The following is a 15,229-nucleotide window of genomic DNA, read 5'->3' as shown; positions in this document are numbered from 1 at the left end:
TAGCACCAATTTTATGCATTACTGACAACTATTTTCTTTGATTATCTTTTTATTGCTTGCTCTCTGGGGACTACCCTCTACAGGAGATCCCTGACGACATGGGATCAAAAGGCCTGAGTAAGTGATCAAAATACTCCCAAGTTATTTTTTAACCTCCATCTGCAGACCTACCTTATTCAGATACATTTTGAGATTCATGGTAGTGCCTTTCTGGCATAAGGAGGTGTATGATTTAGATTGCTTTTAGAATTTTCATGTTTATCACATGCTTGGGACTTTATTTCTGTAATACATAACTTTTTGTTTTTATTTTTCACATGTCATTTGAAAAATTCTCTTGCTCGTAACTATATTTTCCTTTTTGTAATTTTTACGACAGTTACTTTTGCTAGGAACTTTTAAAATATAAAAACTTTTAAGATTTTTTTAAATGTACCCTCATTATTAGAATGTAGAAATATGCTTCCTTGGAGTTTTATGTTCCCCTTTTTTTTGTTAAAATAATTTAAAATAATTTTGATTATGTGTTAGAAAAGCATTACTATAAAAGTATAAAGCACAATAGAATACTACGCAAGTAGCAGTTTATTGAGGGGATAGGTTGTGTATCTCTTTTTTTTTTTTTTTTTTTTTTTTGAGAAAGTTATAAGTTACCACAAGAGTATAAGAACTATTTTGTTTTTCCTTTAGCTAAGATGTTGCCTTTGTTTTTGGTTTTTGTTGCTGCTGTTCTTGTTTAATTTTCTAGCTAGTTACTTAATCTTCATGTAAAGCTTCACACAGGGTCTAGTATGTAGAAGACATTCAATAAATGTTGGCATGAATGAATGAAGCAAGAAGCCATTTTAGCAAATAAAATTTTTAATTTGCATGTTTTCAAATTGCTTAACTGAAAATTTACCAAACATTACTGAGTAACTTTAGGTGACAGTGAGTGATAGAAGTAATCTTTTAATCTAATATTTTCTAAATGGTTCTTTCTATTTAGATTATTAAATATTTTGAAAACTTCTTTGTCATTCATTGATCATTAAGCCTATAGCCAGTATCTTTTAACTTTCTAAGACCTACATTAATAAACATTAAATTTTACATAAGACATTTTTCTGATTTATGCTTTTATGCTGAAATTTTAATCTAAACTGCAGGTACTTTTATTTCAACCATAGTGATTTAAGTTTGTATTAGATTGAAGACAGTATGTTTATTTACAACTCTTTCTGTTAGACACACTTTGTTATTTTTGCATGTGCCTTTATAGGATTTAGTAAGGGCCACAGATTTCCTATCACTAGTGACACCCTTACATTTGGGGAAAATTATCAATGAAAACCTCTAAAATTGGACCATACTACCACAGTTTATGTATGCTATAGAATTTATTTTGAGATTGATAACATACTTTAGAGGTGGTATGGATCAACAAATGGACCCACAGATTTTTCTTATATGTTAAGTGAACAGAGACATAGGAAACTCATAGAAAAAGAAACTAAATGAAGAATTTGGTTCCCATATTGATGTTATAATAGATGATCATTATACCTTGACCCTCTTTCTCTGGTTCTGATTGAAGATTGAGACTTTGGAAGAGAAATAATATGAAAAATGGTAACTGATTATCAGACGACGTTATTCAGAAAAAGATTTTATTTTCTGGAGAGTGACCTAAGATCTCTTGAATAATAGATTTCTGTGCTTCATCTCACAGGAATTAAAAGAATTTATTCACCTGGTAACTTGATCATCAGATCAAGATTTTATTCACAAAATGTTGGAGAAGACAGAAAAATATCAGTAAAATTCTAAAACTGGATATGATGGAGGTTATCACATAAAATAGATGATATAAGGCAGTTGACAAGGTGCCCATGATTATGTAGTAGTAAATACTGGGAAGAAGGATGTGTTCAAGGACGTTACTTGTGGCCTCAGTTACTTACATTCTGAAGTTAAGAATGTAGGGAATAAACTAAGCAAAATCTTGAGAGACTTTAATATAAGAAAATAAGTGCAACTTAATGTAGGTAGTCATCAGGCCTTATTGGAACAAAACTCAAAAAGAACCCAAAAAAGAAGGTTAAGTTATTCCAGAGAACCGAACCTATTGAAGAGAAATGGAATAACACTGAATATCAAGAAAAAAAAAATGTATATCTGCTGTAAATTCACACAACCTATGAAAAATGGGGTATTTAATTGAAGAGCAGACAGAGAAACAGAAGTGATACCATAGAACGCTTTGTGTAGACCTGAATTCATTTGTTCTTTATTCTGAGAAGAAGAGAGTCAAATAAATTATTGATTTCCCTGTTAACAGTAGAGAAAACAGTGAGAGAAATCGTCTTATCAAACCTAATTTTGCTAAACAGAACTAATGAGAGTACAATGGAAGTTTGGGAGAATGCAGCTAAGTCATCATTTGCGAAAAGCTAGAAATAAAAACCCGTGCCGCTTTCATGCTTTAAGGGAGGTAATTTTGAAAAAGCTCAAGGGACTAAAACTAGGTAAGATTCCTTTAACAGAGACTGAAAGGAAACATAACTCAATAAAAGATACATAAGGTGCTCAGAAGTAAAATTATGACATAAGATTTGAGACAAGGTTTGTTCTTATTACATGTAGGCTTTCCATTTTTACAACTTTCCATGTTGTACAACACCTCAAAAATTTCCTCAGGCACGTAGGTTTCCTGTTACATATGTCTTTTCTTTCTTCTCACTTTAAAGACGTACGCATAGTTGTGCAGAGCTTCTAAATGCCAAAAACAGACTTATTTTCATTTGCATTACGAATAAGATGTAAGAGTAGTTTCATTGCTTCAGATTGATGATGTAGTATTAGAGGAGAGCAGAAGAGAAACATGATGTACTGTATCAGGAAGAAGCATTTGAGTACAATGATAAAACTTGGTTAGAGAGATTTGAGATAGATCTGTTCATCAAACATCATAAACAGGCTGGGCGCGGTGACTCACGCCTGTAATCCCAGCACTTTGGGAGGCTGAGGCCAGCAGATCACCTCAGGTCAGGAATTCGAGACCAGCCTGGCCAACATGGCAAAACCCCGTCTCTACTAAAAGTACAAAAATTAGCAAGGCATGGTGGTGCACACCTGTAATCCAAGCTACTCGGGAGGGAGGCTGAGGCAGGAGAATCACTTGAACCCGGGAGGTGAAGGTTGCAGTAAGCCGAGATCACGCCACTGCTCTCCAGCCTGGGTGACAGAGCAAGACTCAGGTTTTTTTTTTGTTTTTTTGTTTTTTTTTTTTTTAAGACAATCATAAACAAAAATAAAAACTTGAAGAATTTATTTGTACCATGTATGTCACAAGGATAATATCTTTATAAGTTTTTAACAGGTAATAAGAAATAAGCTAACTCTCCATTAGAAAACTGGGCAAGAGTGCTCAGAAGATAAGCAAATGAAATAAGCATATAAAAAATGTTTAATTTCCCTAGTAGTGATAAGCAAAATGTTTTACCTGTCACTTTGGCAGACTTTTGTTTAAAAAGAAAACCCATGACGGAGAGAGTGCTGCTAAATGCCTGCTTTTAATGTATTACAAGTAAATAATGTATTACAAGTAAATGTATGGGAGTGTAAATTGGCACAGCCTTCCTGAAAAAGCACATCTTTTGACCCACTAAATCCTCTTCAAAGAATTTATCCTAAGGATGTAATTAGAGATGGAGACAAAGCCTTATATATCAGAATGCTTATTATAATATTATTGAGTAATAACAGCAAAAATAAAAAAAACCGTGGTAAAATGTCTTACAGTTGGGAAGTGCCTAATGAAGTATGATTTATCCATACTATGTAATATTACATAACCATCAAAAATCATATTTAAAGATAATGACATGGGGAAATGCTTACTATCTATGAAAAAAGTAAAATATGAAACTGCATATATTGTCTCAGTCTTATATGTTTGGAGCTATTTTAAATAGTGTTGCTTTGAACATTCTTATACATGTCTTGTGGTAAGCATATATATGCCTTTCTGTTGGGGAAATATCTAGGAAAGGAATTGCTGGGTCGTATAGATACACATTTGTCCAGCCTTAGTAGCTATTGCCAATTAGTTTTCTAGTTTTACCAGTTTGCCCATTCCTAGCGCATGAACTCCCATTGCTGCATATCATTATCGATGCTTGACATGTCTGTTTTGTGTTTTCATTTTAGCCATTCTGGTGGATGGCAGAGACACTCTTTGTGGTTATAATTTGCATTTCCCTGACAAGTAATTAACTTGAACACTTTTCTATATGTTTATTGGTTATTTGACTGTCTTCTTTGGTAAAATGCTTTGAAGAGGAACATTTTCAATTATCAGAAGAAAAACATTTTATTTTTCTAATAACATTCCAAACAATTATGATGACGCTATTCTAAGGACCATACTTTGAGTAGTGAGGCTTTATTGTAGAAGAGCTAAGTGAAATGATATTTGAAAGAACCTGCAGAATTTGATTGTGGCGTAGCTTTTGGCAGTCTTAGAGGGTTTGAGGTGAGTAGGAGAAATCTCAAAAAAAAAAAAAAAAGACAGTGAAGAGATTTTGGTAACTTAAACTTTTTATTATATAAATATCAGATATATTCAATAGTAGAAAAGTAGTAAAAATAAACCCTGCAGGTATTTGTTTATCCAGCTTTCATAATTGTCAACTGAACATTTGCCAATTCTGTTTCTTCTGTACTCCCACTTACACTCCCCTCCCTTCACCCCATTGCAATAACTAATTTTTCTTTAGTTTACAAACTAGAGATTGCAGAGGGTAATACCAATACTAATGTAAACAGAATAACTCTTTTTTTAATGTGGCGTGTTTCTGGGTATGAAATTTAAGGAAATAGGACAGAAAGTTAAAAGGTATATATAAATGAAGACATTCATAATTGTTGATACTTGTGAAAAACAGTTTAAAGCAAATAAAAATATCTAATAAATAGCGAGGTAAATAATGTATCAATCTAATAGAATATTATACACCAATTTTAAATTATTGCTGTCAAGCCCATGTGGTGACATGGAAAGAAATATTTTAATATGAGCTTTTAAAAAACCTACCATTTGGCCAGGTGCGGTGGCTCACACCTGTAATCCCAGCACTTTGGGAGGCCAAGGCAGACAGATCACGTGAGCTCAGAGGTTCAATATCAGCCTGGCCAACATGGTGAAACCAGTCTCTACTAAAAATAGAAAAATTAGTTGGGCATGGTGCTATATACCTGCAGTGCCAGGTAGTCAGGTGTCTGAGACACAAGAATAGAATCGCTTAAACCTAGGAGGCAGAGGTTGCAGTGAGCTGAGATCGTGCCACTGCACTCCAGCCTGGGCAACAAAGGGAGACTATCTCAAAAAAAAAAAAAAAAAAAAAATGAAATTTCCAGCTGGGTGTGGTGATTCACACCTGTAATCCCAGCACTTTGGGAAGCTGAGATGGGAGGATCCCTTGAGGCCAGGAGTTTGAGACCAGTGTGGGCAACATAGTTGAGACTTGTCTCTTTTATTAAAAAAAAAAAACAAAATTTTAGCAGGGCATGGTGGTACATACCTGTAGTCCCAGCCACTCTGGGCTAAGATGGGAGGATCACAGAAGCCCAGGAGAGGAGGGCGAGGCTGCAGTGAGCTATAGTCATACCACCTCACTCCCACCTGAGCAACAGAGTGAGGCCCTGTCCCTTTAATTAAAAAAAAAAAAAAAAGTTAAAATAAAAATTCAGATTTCCCTGTCTCATTGAAAGTTTTATTTTTATTTTTTAAAAATAAAAGTATTAGTCTTTGTTTAATTGAAGGGAGATATTTATTGAGAGAAAACTTGAGATGACATTTACATGGATGAGAAGAGTGCCTATGGTTTTACCAAACAATAAAGTCGTGAAATGGAGTCACTTTTAAGGAGGGCCAGGCAGTTTCTGGCTGGGTGTGTTTGTTCTCATTGTCTTTTTTATGTTTTGCAAAAGCCAGCCAGTGCCAGTCTTATCAAAGCAGAGTTTCTAAGAAATATTAGTTGGTTTTAAAATGCAATTGCCACCATCGGTGCCTTCCCTTCCAGCTGAGACATCTGAATTTATGACTTCTAATATTAGTTGGTTTTAAAATGCAATTGCCACCATCAGTGCCTTCCCTTCCAGCTGAGACATCTGAATTTATGACCTTTACAATCCTTTATCTATATGATCTCAGAAACATGGATTTTCATCTTCAGAAACAGGAGCAAAGCTGGATTGAAAATAAGATCATCTATTTATTTTTAATTACAAAGACATCCCGTCATTAAAATGGGCATCTATTTGTTTAAATATAGTTTGTCCCCTTTGCCAGTTAACGCTGTTTCAAAAACTGAAATAGTGCCAACAGTATTTTCTCCTTTGAGTTTTATGTCTACATTTGGACTAATTCAGGGTCACTTAGCCCTTTTTGTCATATTCTACTTGCTATTTATAATAGATTTGTTCATAAACTGTGTTGTACAAAAATAAGGCATTGTCCTTAATTACAGGAGTTTTCCTTTGCTAATATATATTTATTATTTGAAAAACTTAAACGTTTCAAAGAAAAAGAAAATGCTTTTAAAAAATTATTTTGTTATATATGGCTTATATCTCAACATTTCATTTTGATTATTTGCTTTTTAAACTCATGACACTGTTTTATTTTTTTTCATTGTCCTGCAATTTCAGAGCATGTAACTTCTAATGCCAGCGATAGTGAAAGTAGTTACCGTAAGTGTTTTAAGTTACTTGTTCTTTTGTAATCTCGAGTAATACATCCTCTGCAGGGGTGGAGGGATTCTGAGTGATATGTTATAAAAACCTGAAGTTATATGATCGTTATTTTAAAATCAGGGAGAGACAAGTAAAATTCTGTACTTGAAAAATAAAATCATACTATATATGTAGAGGTTAATTTATAAAATTTTAATAAAATAAAAATATTATTTGTGTACATGATACATATGTATATGTATATGTATTTTTTGTAAGAAGTAAATATCTAGTTAAATGGGGGAAAACTTGTATTTTGACCTTCTGTTTAGTAATTGGTTTTAACATGAGCACTAAAATAATATTTTTCAGTAATGCTAAATTATCATTAGCTTTATTTCCATTTTTATTCTTTGTCACCAATACTGATCTGGGTCATGTCATTGTTTATCACCAGCACTTGGTGAACGGAAGAAATAAGGAAACATTTTCAATGATCACCTGAAAAATAATACTAATTTTTCTTTTGCTGTTTTATATTACATTCTTGGTTTTATTAAGTGAACTGCACAAGCATGTGATGTTTTAAAACAGACTTGGGCATGGGAGAAGGGGAGGGTACATAATATCAGTTGTAGCACCTTAAAAATTAAAATTACTTTTCTAACTTTCTTTTTTTACTGCTGTCTAATATGAAAGTAATCTTGATTACAGATGAGTATGGCTGCTCAAAAGGTCCATCCTGTTAATATCAGTCCCTAATACTTTTTCATGTTGACAGTATATACTTTTAACCGTCATTCATTTGGTTGATTATTTTTCTACACAATAGTTACTTAATGATTTTTTTTTTGGTGTGGAAATGATTTCCTGTATTTCAGCATTTTATTAATTATAACCAGAACCCACTATAGGGTAGTTGAGTGGCTTTCTAGGCTAAAAAGAGGTAATGAAAGTATATACTGTCTCTCACCATTTGCATGAATTATTAAGGTGTGAAATATTCAAATTGCATGTGTTTGCTAGTATGTAAGCCATGTTTCACATCCAGTACTTTAAAAAACAGCTTATAAAATATTGGTCTTATGTACTTTGATAATAAAATTGAAAACAAAGAAATACTTCTAAAACAGAAAAGAATGTTTATGCCAATGTATGGATTTAAAAGACCTACAGCTACATACATATAATATAAACCAATTGCAAAATTCATGGTAAAATTGTTATAGGATCTTGATAATTAAAGAGAAAGTCTTCAAATACATTATCCAATATTGATTGCTTTCATTGAACCACTTGGGTTAACACAGTCTTTTCTAATTTTAGGCGTGGGGGTGAGGGGGGATGTGTGTGTGTTAGTTTAAAACTCCTAGAGTTTTTGGCCGGGCGCGGCGGCTCACGCCTGTAATCCCAGCACTTTGGGAGGCCGAGGCGGGCAGATCACCTGAGGTCAGGAGTTCGAGACCAGCCTGACCAACGTGGAGAAACCCTATCTTTACTAAAAATACAAAATTAGCTGGGCATGATGGCACATGCCTGTAATCCCAGCTACTTGGGAGGCTGAGGCAGGAGAACCGCTTGAACCCGGGAGTTGGAGGCTGCAGTGAGCTGAGATCATGCCATTGCACTCCAGACTAGGCAACAAGAGCGAAACTCCGTCTCAAAAAAAAAAAAAAAAAAAAAAACTCTCAGAGTTTTTAACTATTTATTTCTTTTCACTGGATTCAGATATTCAGATATAATTTGTAGACTCTTTTATTTAGAGTATTTCCTAAGCTCCGAACCTTTAATTTAACCTTTAGAAGCTTTAACTTCTTGTGTTTTTAAGGTCAAAGCAAATATATTTATCTCCTTTACTATCACTGTTGTTTATTTTCTTGGAAGGATTTAGTTTTATCTAAAGCTCTTTTTGACTCACATTAAATTTATTATTTTTTTACAAAGTTGAGTTAGTGAATTTTTCATCAGTGAAATAGTAACAGTAGTTTTACCTTTGCATTTATAATTTTTAATTTTAAGATGTAATTATTTTAAAAATAAAATATACTGTATTCAGTATTGTAGTTGGTGGAACAAAAAAAGTAGCATGTTTTTAATAGTAACAAATTACCTAATACGTAGATAGATGATAGACAGATCTGCTCATTAAAGCATTAATCTTTAACAGATTTAATAATTCTTAGATTCTAAATAAAGGAGTAGCACATAGCATCACAAATGAAGATTTTTAGATTTGATTATCTATAAAATATAATATTGATTATATAGCCCATTTGTATTTTGTTTTACATTTAGCAAACTCACTTTTAAGACTTTATAATTTGACACTTTTTTTTAACTAAATCTTGCCATAAAGTACCTCTTTCCATATCTTTGCCATTTTCTCAGGAAAGTTCTAGTAATGTATATGTTGTTTATGAAGAATTAGATTAGCATCAATTATCTTTACACATTTTTCATCTGTGCCTTCACTTTCTAATAGGTGGTCAAGAAGAATACGTCTTATCTTATGAACCAGTGAATCAACAAGAAGGTTTGTGAAGCCTATTGATGTTTTATAACCTTCTAGAAGAATATACTTTTTAATTTGGGGGAAAAAAATTCTCATACCCCAAAAAATGTTGTATTAAAATTTTTTTTTACTACATATACATGTAGAAATTTACTACATGTGTTTTATGAAACATAGTTTACTCCACAGAATATTAGAATCTAGTCATTTCATACTGACTTTTATATTTGTGTTTTATTTCCCAAGCAACTTTGTTCCAGTGTTCTTGTTAGCATCACTATCTTCCAAATAACCCTTTTTTGAAAATCTTGGAAGTATCTTTGAGCCTTCTCTGTTCCTCCTCCTCCTCCTCATCCAGTTAGGTTCCAGGCACTGTTTATCCCACTTCTTTCTTATTTATGACCTTCTTTTCATCCCTTCTATCACAATGTTAGTTCTCAGTCTCACTACCAATCTCCATTATTCCAGCATGATCCCAGACCACCCAGAGTTTACACTTCTGTTAGATCATCTTTCTAGAATGCTACTACTGGGATTATATCACTTCCTACATCCAGTTTCTGTTCTGCCCTTCTTTGCTCTGCTTCCTTACAATTTCTACTTCAAAGCCATCTGTAAAACACTAGACTTTATTCTGTCATTTGCAATGTAAAGAAACATTATCTGCGAAAACACCAAATTTAACTTGATTGAATTATCAATATGACTTCTAGCAGAAGACTAAGTAAAGTTTAAGATCTGAGTCAAGATTATAAAAGAGCAAGTTACGCATCTTTGGTTGATGGTAGAGTGAGATGGAGAGGGAAGAAAAAAATTAGTCATAACAGTTAAGGATATTTTTGTTCGCTGGTGAAATAAAATACATTGATATTTGTTGAATGTTTATTCCTTTTAACATGCAGTTTATCTTTATAGTTAATTATACTCGACCAGTGATCATATTGGGACCTATGAAAGACAGGATAAATGATGACTTGATCTCAGAATTTCCTGACAAATTTGGATCCTGTGTTCCTCGTAAGTAAACCAAACAAAAACATTTAATTGTTACTCTTAACATTTCCTGTCACTGTGTGTGGGAAAAATAGATATAACCATTTTTTAATGGTTTGTACTTATTTTATCAGTTACTCTTCCATCCTCCATATTATTGTCCTTTCTCAGATTTAAATTAATCTGTTCTGTTGAACTTTACAAAACGATGTAAGTAGAAAATGGATTTATTGTGGTTTTTTTTTTAATATTAAACACTTTCCCAAGTTTTTTTCTGTTAAAGATACAACTAGACCAAAACGAGATTATGAGGTAGATGGAAGAGATTATCATTTTGTGACTTCAAGAGAGCAGATGGAAAAAGATATCCAGGAACATAAATTCATTGAAGCTGGCCAGTATAACAATCATCTATATGGAACAAGTGTTCAGTCTGTACGAGAAGTAGCAGAAAAGGTAAGCATCAGACTAATCCCAGAATATAGCTTCTAATCAGATATGCCTTTGACAGTATGCAAGACTGGTAGGATAGATACAGCACTAATTAGTTTTGTTAATGTGATGAATTTGCTTACCTAAATAATTAATTTTCCATGGCTTAGGAAAGTGCATACAAGATAAAACAGGTAAATAAGGTAAACAAAGAAAGTGAAAATAGAAATGATAACATGAATGTAAGAGAAGTTATTTTCAGGTCATTTGCTAGAGATAGACCTTTTGTTTAGGCCTAGCTCTCCAGCATATATTAAAAGGAGATAAGGGCCGGGTGTGGCAGTGCACCCTTACAGTCCTAGCTACTGAGAAGGCTGAGTTGAGAGAATCACTGAAGCCTGGGAGTTTGAGGCTGCAGTGAGCTATGAGCATGCCACTGAACTCCAGCCTGGGCAACAGAACAAGACCCTGGCTCTTAAAAAAAGAAAAAAAAAGAAAGATCAATAAATCTAACCACTTAAAATTTTTAAAAAACTTTTTTTATGGCCAAAGACTTTTTCCAAAAACTATTGGAAAACACCATTAACAATGTCAAAAGACAACTGACAGAAAAAATTTGCAAGAAAAGGGCTAATATTCCCAATATATAAAGAACTCATAAAAACAGGGAACAGAGACCAGAAACCCAATAGAAAAAAACAGTGGACAAAAGATCAGAATATATAGTTCACACAAAAATAAGATATAAAATGGCCTTTGTACATAGGAAATGACGTTCAACTGTAGTCATTATTAAAGAAATGTAAAGGCCGGGTGCGGTGGCTCACGCCTGTAATCCCAGCGCTTTGGGAGGCCAAGGCAGGCGGATCACCTGAGGTTAGGAGTTCAAGACCAGCCTGGCCAACATGGTGAAACCCCGTCTCTACTAAACATACAAAAATTAGCCAGGCTTGGCAGTGCATGCCTTAATCCCAGCTTCTCAGGAGGCTGAGGCAGGAGAATTGCTTGTACCTGGGAGGTGGAGGTTGCAGTGAGCCGAGGTCGTGCCGTTGCACTCCAACCTGGGTGACAAGAGTGAAACTCTGCCTCAAAAAAAAAAAAAAATAAGGCCAGGCACAGTGGAAGGCTGAGGTGGGTAGATCACCTGAGGTCAGGAGTTCAAGACCAGCCTGGCCAACATGGCAAAACCCCATCTCTACCAAAAATACAAAAATTAACTTGGCGTGGTGGTGCATGCCTGTAATCCTGGCTAAGGAGGCTGAGGCAGGAGAATCGCTTGAACCCAGGAGATTGCAGTGAGCCAAAACCATGCCACTGCACTCCAGCCTGAGCAACAGAGCAAGACTCCATCTCAAAAAAAAAAAAAAAAAATGTAAATTAAGAAGACTACTCTAAATTCAATTTCTCCCCTATCAGATTCAGGGAGAAATATGAAGACATTTTCTTGGTGAGACTGAGAGAAAACAGTTGTGCATTGCTGGTGGAAATGCAAACTGGTACTGCCTTTTGGAAGGGTATTTGGCAATATCTAGCAGCTTTCCTTCAACCCAGCATCCCACTTCTAGGAATTTATTCCAAAGATATACCCCAACAGTATGAAAATACATGGGCAAAAGGGTATTTATTCATTGTAGCATTGTTTATAATTGTGAAATACTGAAAATCATCTAAATGCCCAGATAAAAGTGATTGAATTAATTTTACATTCACAAAATGAAGTTCTCTAAAACTGTTAATAAGGTATTTGAACTGATACACAACATGCAAAAGAATATCTACGGTATAAAATAAGAGAAAATGGGAAAATACAAATCTCTGCTCAGTTGTGTGAAAATAAGCACAGGAAAGGTAAATCAGAACTTAATGAGGTTGGTTACCTACAGAGGGAGTGATGTAGAGAGGGAATTTGGAATGGGATGGAAAGGATGAGGGGTATGACATTTCTCTGAGTATACATTTTTGTATTATTTTAACTTTTAGAAAGTATGTTAGTATTTTACATATTTAAAAAAATCAAAAATAAAAGCAACAAAGAAAGATGGGGGAAAAGCAAAATGATACATAAGTAGAAACTAAATAAACCTGACTGTATTTCTTTTTTTTTTTTTATACTTTAAGTTTTAGGGTACAATAAACCTGCCTGTATTTCAAATGAATAACTTAACTACATTGAAGAGGGGAGAAGTCTTAATCCCAGAGATTCTTTAACACAAGCTGAAGACAGATCTGTAAACAAAATAAAACTCTAATTAGTAGGTTTGTTGGGTGGAGTGTATGGGCTTACAGTTCTGAAACTAATATATATTCTAGGGTTGAGCAAATAAACTAATACAATGGCAGTAGTGGGAGTGAGGTTTGACTGTCAGAAAAAGGGAGAGGGTAAAATGAACTCTGTGATAATTGGATTGGAGATATTAGATAATTAGAGCGATGAATATGAACCCATGGATTGTTAAGAGTAGATATAGAAATAGATGTGTATTTATGTATACACACACGTATGTTTATTTGCTTTATCCACTAAGAAGACCTAAAAATAACACTGAATAAGCCATGAGAATATCTGGGGCCCGGATCTGGGCTTCTAAATATAATTCGTTAATTAAAAGATCCAGGACTCCTTAGAGAAATGGCTGATTCTGGGGCCAGGACTGGAAAAGTGTGAGATAAGCCTGTAACATTTTGCTGCCAGAAAAATAAGGAAGCACTCAAAGAATGATGAAGATGTGTAAAAAGGCAAAGGAACCAAGCTGTAGGGTCCCCCACTGGCCAAGTCTGAGATAATTTGAATATCAAGATAAATGATAATAACATATTATAATACATAGAGTAAAATAAAAATCGTAGAGTCCATAATGATATAAACAAACACAGATGGCCCTCAACTTAGAATGGTTCAACTTTTCAGAGGCGCAAAAGTGATGCATATTCAGTCGCAGCCATACTTCAAGTACCCATACAGCTATTCTGTTTTTCACTTGTAGAACAGTATTCAATGAATTACATGAAAAATTCAACACTTAATTATAAAACAGGCATGTTGGATGATTTTGTCCGACTGTAGAGTAAGTGTTCTGAGCACATTTAAGGTAATCTGGGCTAAGGTATGATGTTCAGTAGGGTAGGTATATTAAATGCATTTTCAATTTACAGTATTTTCAACTTGTGATGGGTTTATTGGGACGTAACTCCCATCATAAGGAGCATCTGTATGTGAGTAAGTAAGTGGATAGAAGGGAACGCTTTGGACTGTCTACTAATCAAGGTAGAAGAAATGATTAAATTAGAAAATCTTTTGAAAACCGCATGGTGGTAATTGTTTCCGGCAGAAACCATCAGTGTATTCTAAAATTAGTGAACATTTGATGAAAAAAGGGATATTTATATAGTCTCAAAGTGTCCTCCCCCAAAATACTTATCAGTTACAAAGGTAAAAATGATAATTTTACAGTGGAGAAACCTAGCAGATAAAACCTTAAACAAGTGATCAAAATTAGGATCACTAATAATGGGACAAATAGATATAATATCGCCTCCCAGATATGATGGACTAAGAAGGACACACATTATGTCTGTAGTATTCCTGCCAAAAATGTGTAACCTGCCATCCGAGAGTGAGTAAACACACAAACCCATAAACCCATAGAATGAGGCATATTCTATGATATAAATATTTTATACTCTTCAAAAACATCAAGAAAGACAAAAGACTGAGGAACTGTGTCAGATTGACGGAGACTAAGGAGACTTTACAACTAAATACAATGTGTGATCCTATGATCCTGAATTCGATCCTTGACCAGGACATTTTTTTACTCTTTTCCAATAAGGAACATTAGATGGCCACTTGGAATCATATTGTGATTATGTAAGAGATGCCATTGTTTTTAAGAAATACGAGGTGAAGGAGCATTATGCAGTTTATTCTCAAACTATTATGTACATATATAGAAAGAGTTAAAGCAAACCTAGAATATTAATATTTCAGTATCAAGTTATTAAAATGTTTAAGCGATCATGTAAAATATTTATGTCTGATGAAAGTAGATAATGGGTACATGGTGTCTATTATTTACTTTTCTATATGTTTGGAGTATTTTACAGTATTAAATTTTTTATTTTAAATGTGCCCACCAAATTGAAATTATCATGTATTGACTTGGACTCAAGTCCTTGGGTTAGAAGTTGCATTATGGGGCTGAGCATGGTGGCTCACGCCTATAATCCCAGCACTTTGGGAGGCCAAGGTGGGTGGATCACTTGAGGTCAGGAATTTGAGACCAGCCTCACCAACATGGTGAAACCCCATCTGTACAAAAAACACAAAAATCAGCTGGGTGTGGTGGCGCACACCTGTTGTCCTAGCTACTGGGGAGGCTGAAGCAGGCGGAAGTTGCAGTAAGCCGAGATCATGCCACTGCACTCAAGTCTGGGTGACAGAGCAAGTCTTCGTCTCAAAAACAAACAAACAAAAAACTGAAGTTGCATTATCGGGGAGGGCCTGATTTCAAATGTATTAGAAGAAAATCTGTCATAAATAATAAATACTATGCTTAACATGGAAATGCTCATCTG

General features: G+C 34.3%; 1 protein-coding gene across 43 annotated transcripts in view; it reads left to right on the top strand.

Annotated features, from left to right (window-relative positions):
• The window catches only part of DLG1 (discs large MAGUK scaffold protein 1), a 256,762-nt gene that overhangs the window by 223,368 nt on the left and 18,165 nt on the right, over nucleotides 1-15,229 (top strand). For 19 of the 43 annotated variants that reach the window (XM_017005803.2, NM_001366205.1, NM_001366207.1 and 16 more), the window contains 4 exons: nucleotides 6,694-6,735; nucleotides 9,200-9,250; nucleotides 10,145-10,246; nucleotides 10,506-10,678. In XM_017005803.2, coding sequence (XP_016861292.1) covers nucleotides 6,694-6,735; nucleotides 9,200-9,250; nucleotides 10,145-10,246; nucleotides 10,506-10,678 — 368 coding nt within the window. Of the gene's footprint in view, nucleotides 1-83; nucleotides 118-6,693; nucleotides 6,736-7,416; nucleotides 7,453-9,199; nucleotides 9,251-10,144; nucleotides 10,247-10,489; nucleotides 10,679-15,229 lie in introns of those variants that run through there. The other 24 variants (NR_158764.1, NR_158765.1, NM_001290983.2 and 21 more) reach the window with 4 other exon arrangements.

Source organism: Homo sapiens, chromosome 3 (assembly GCF_000001405.40).
Source record: "Homo sapiens chromosome 3, GRCh38.p14 Primary Assembly".
NCBI classification, from domain to species: Eukaryota; Metazoa; Chordata; class Mammalia; order Primates; family Hominidae; genus Homo; species Homo sapiens.
This window is presented reverse-complemented; position numbering and strand designations above follow the sequence as displayed.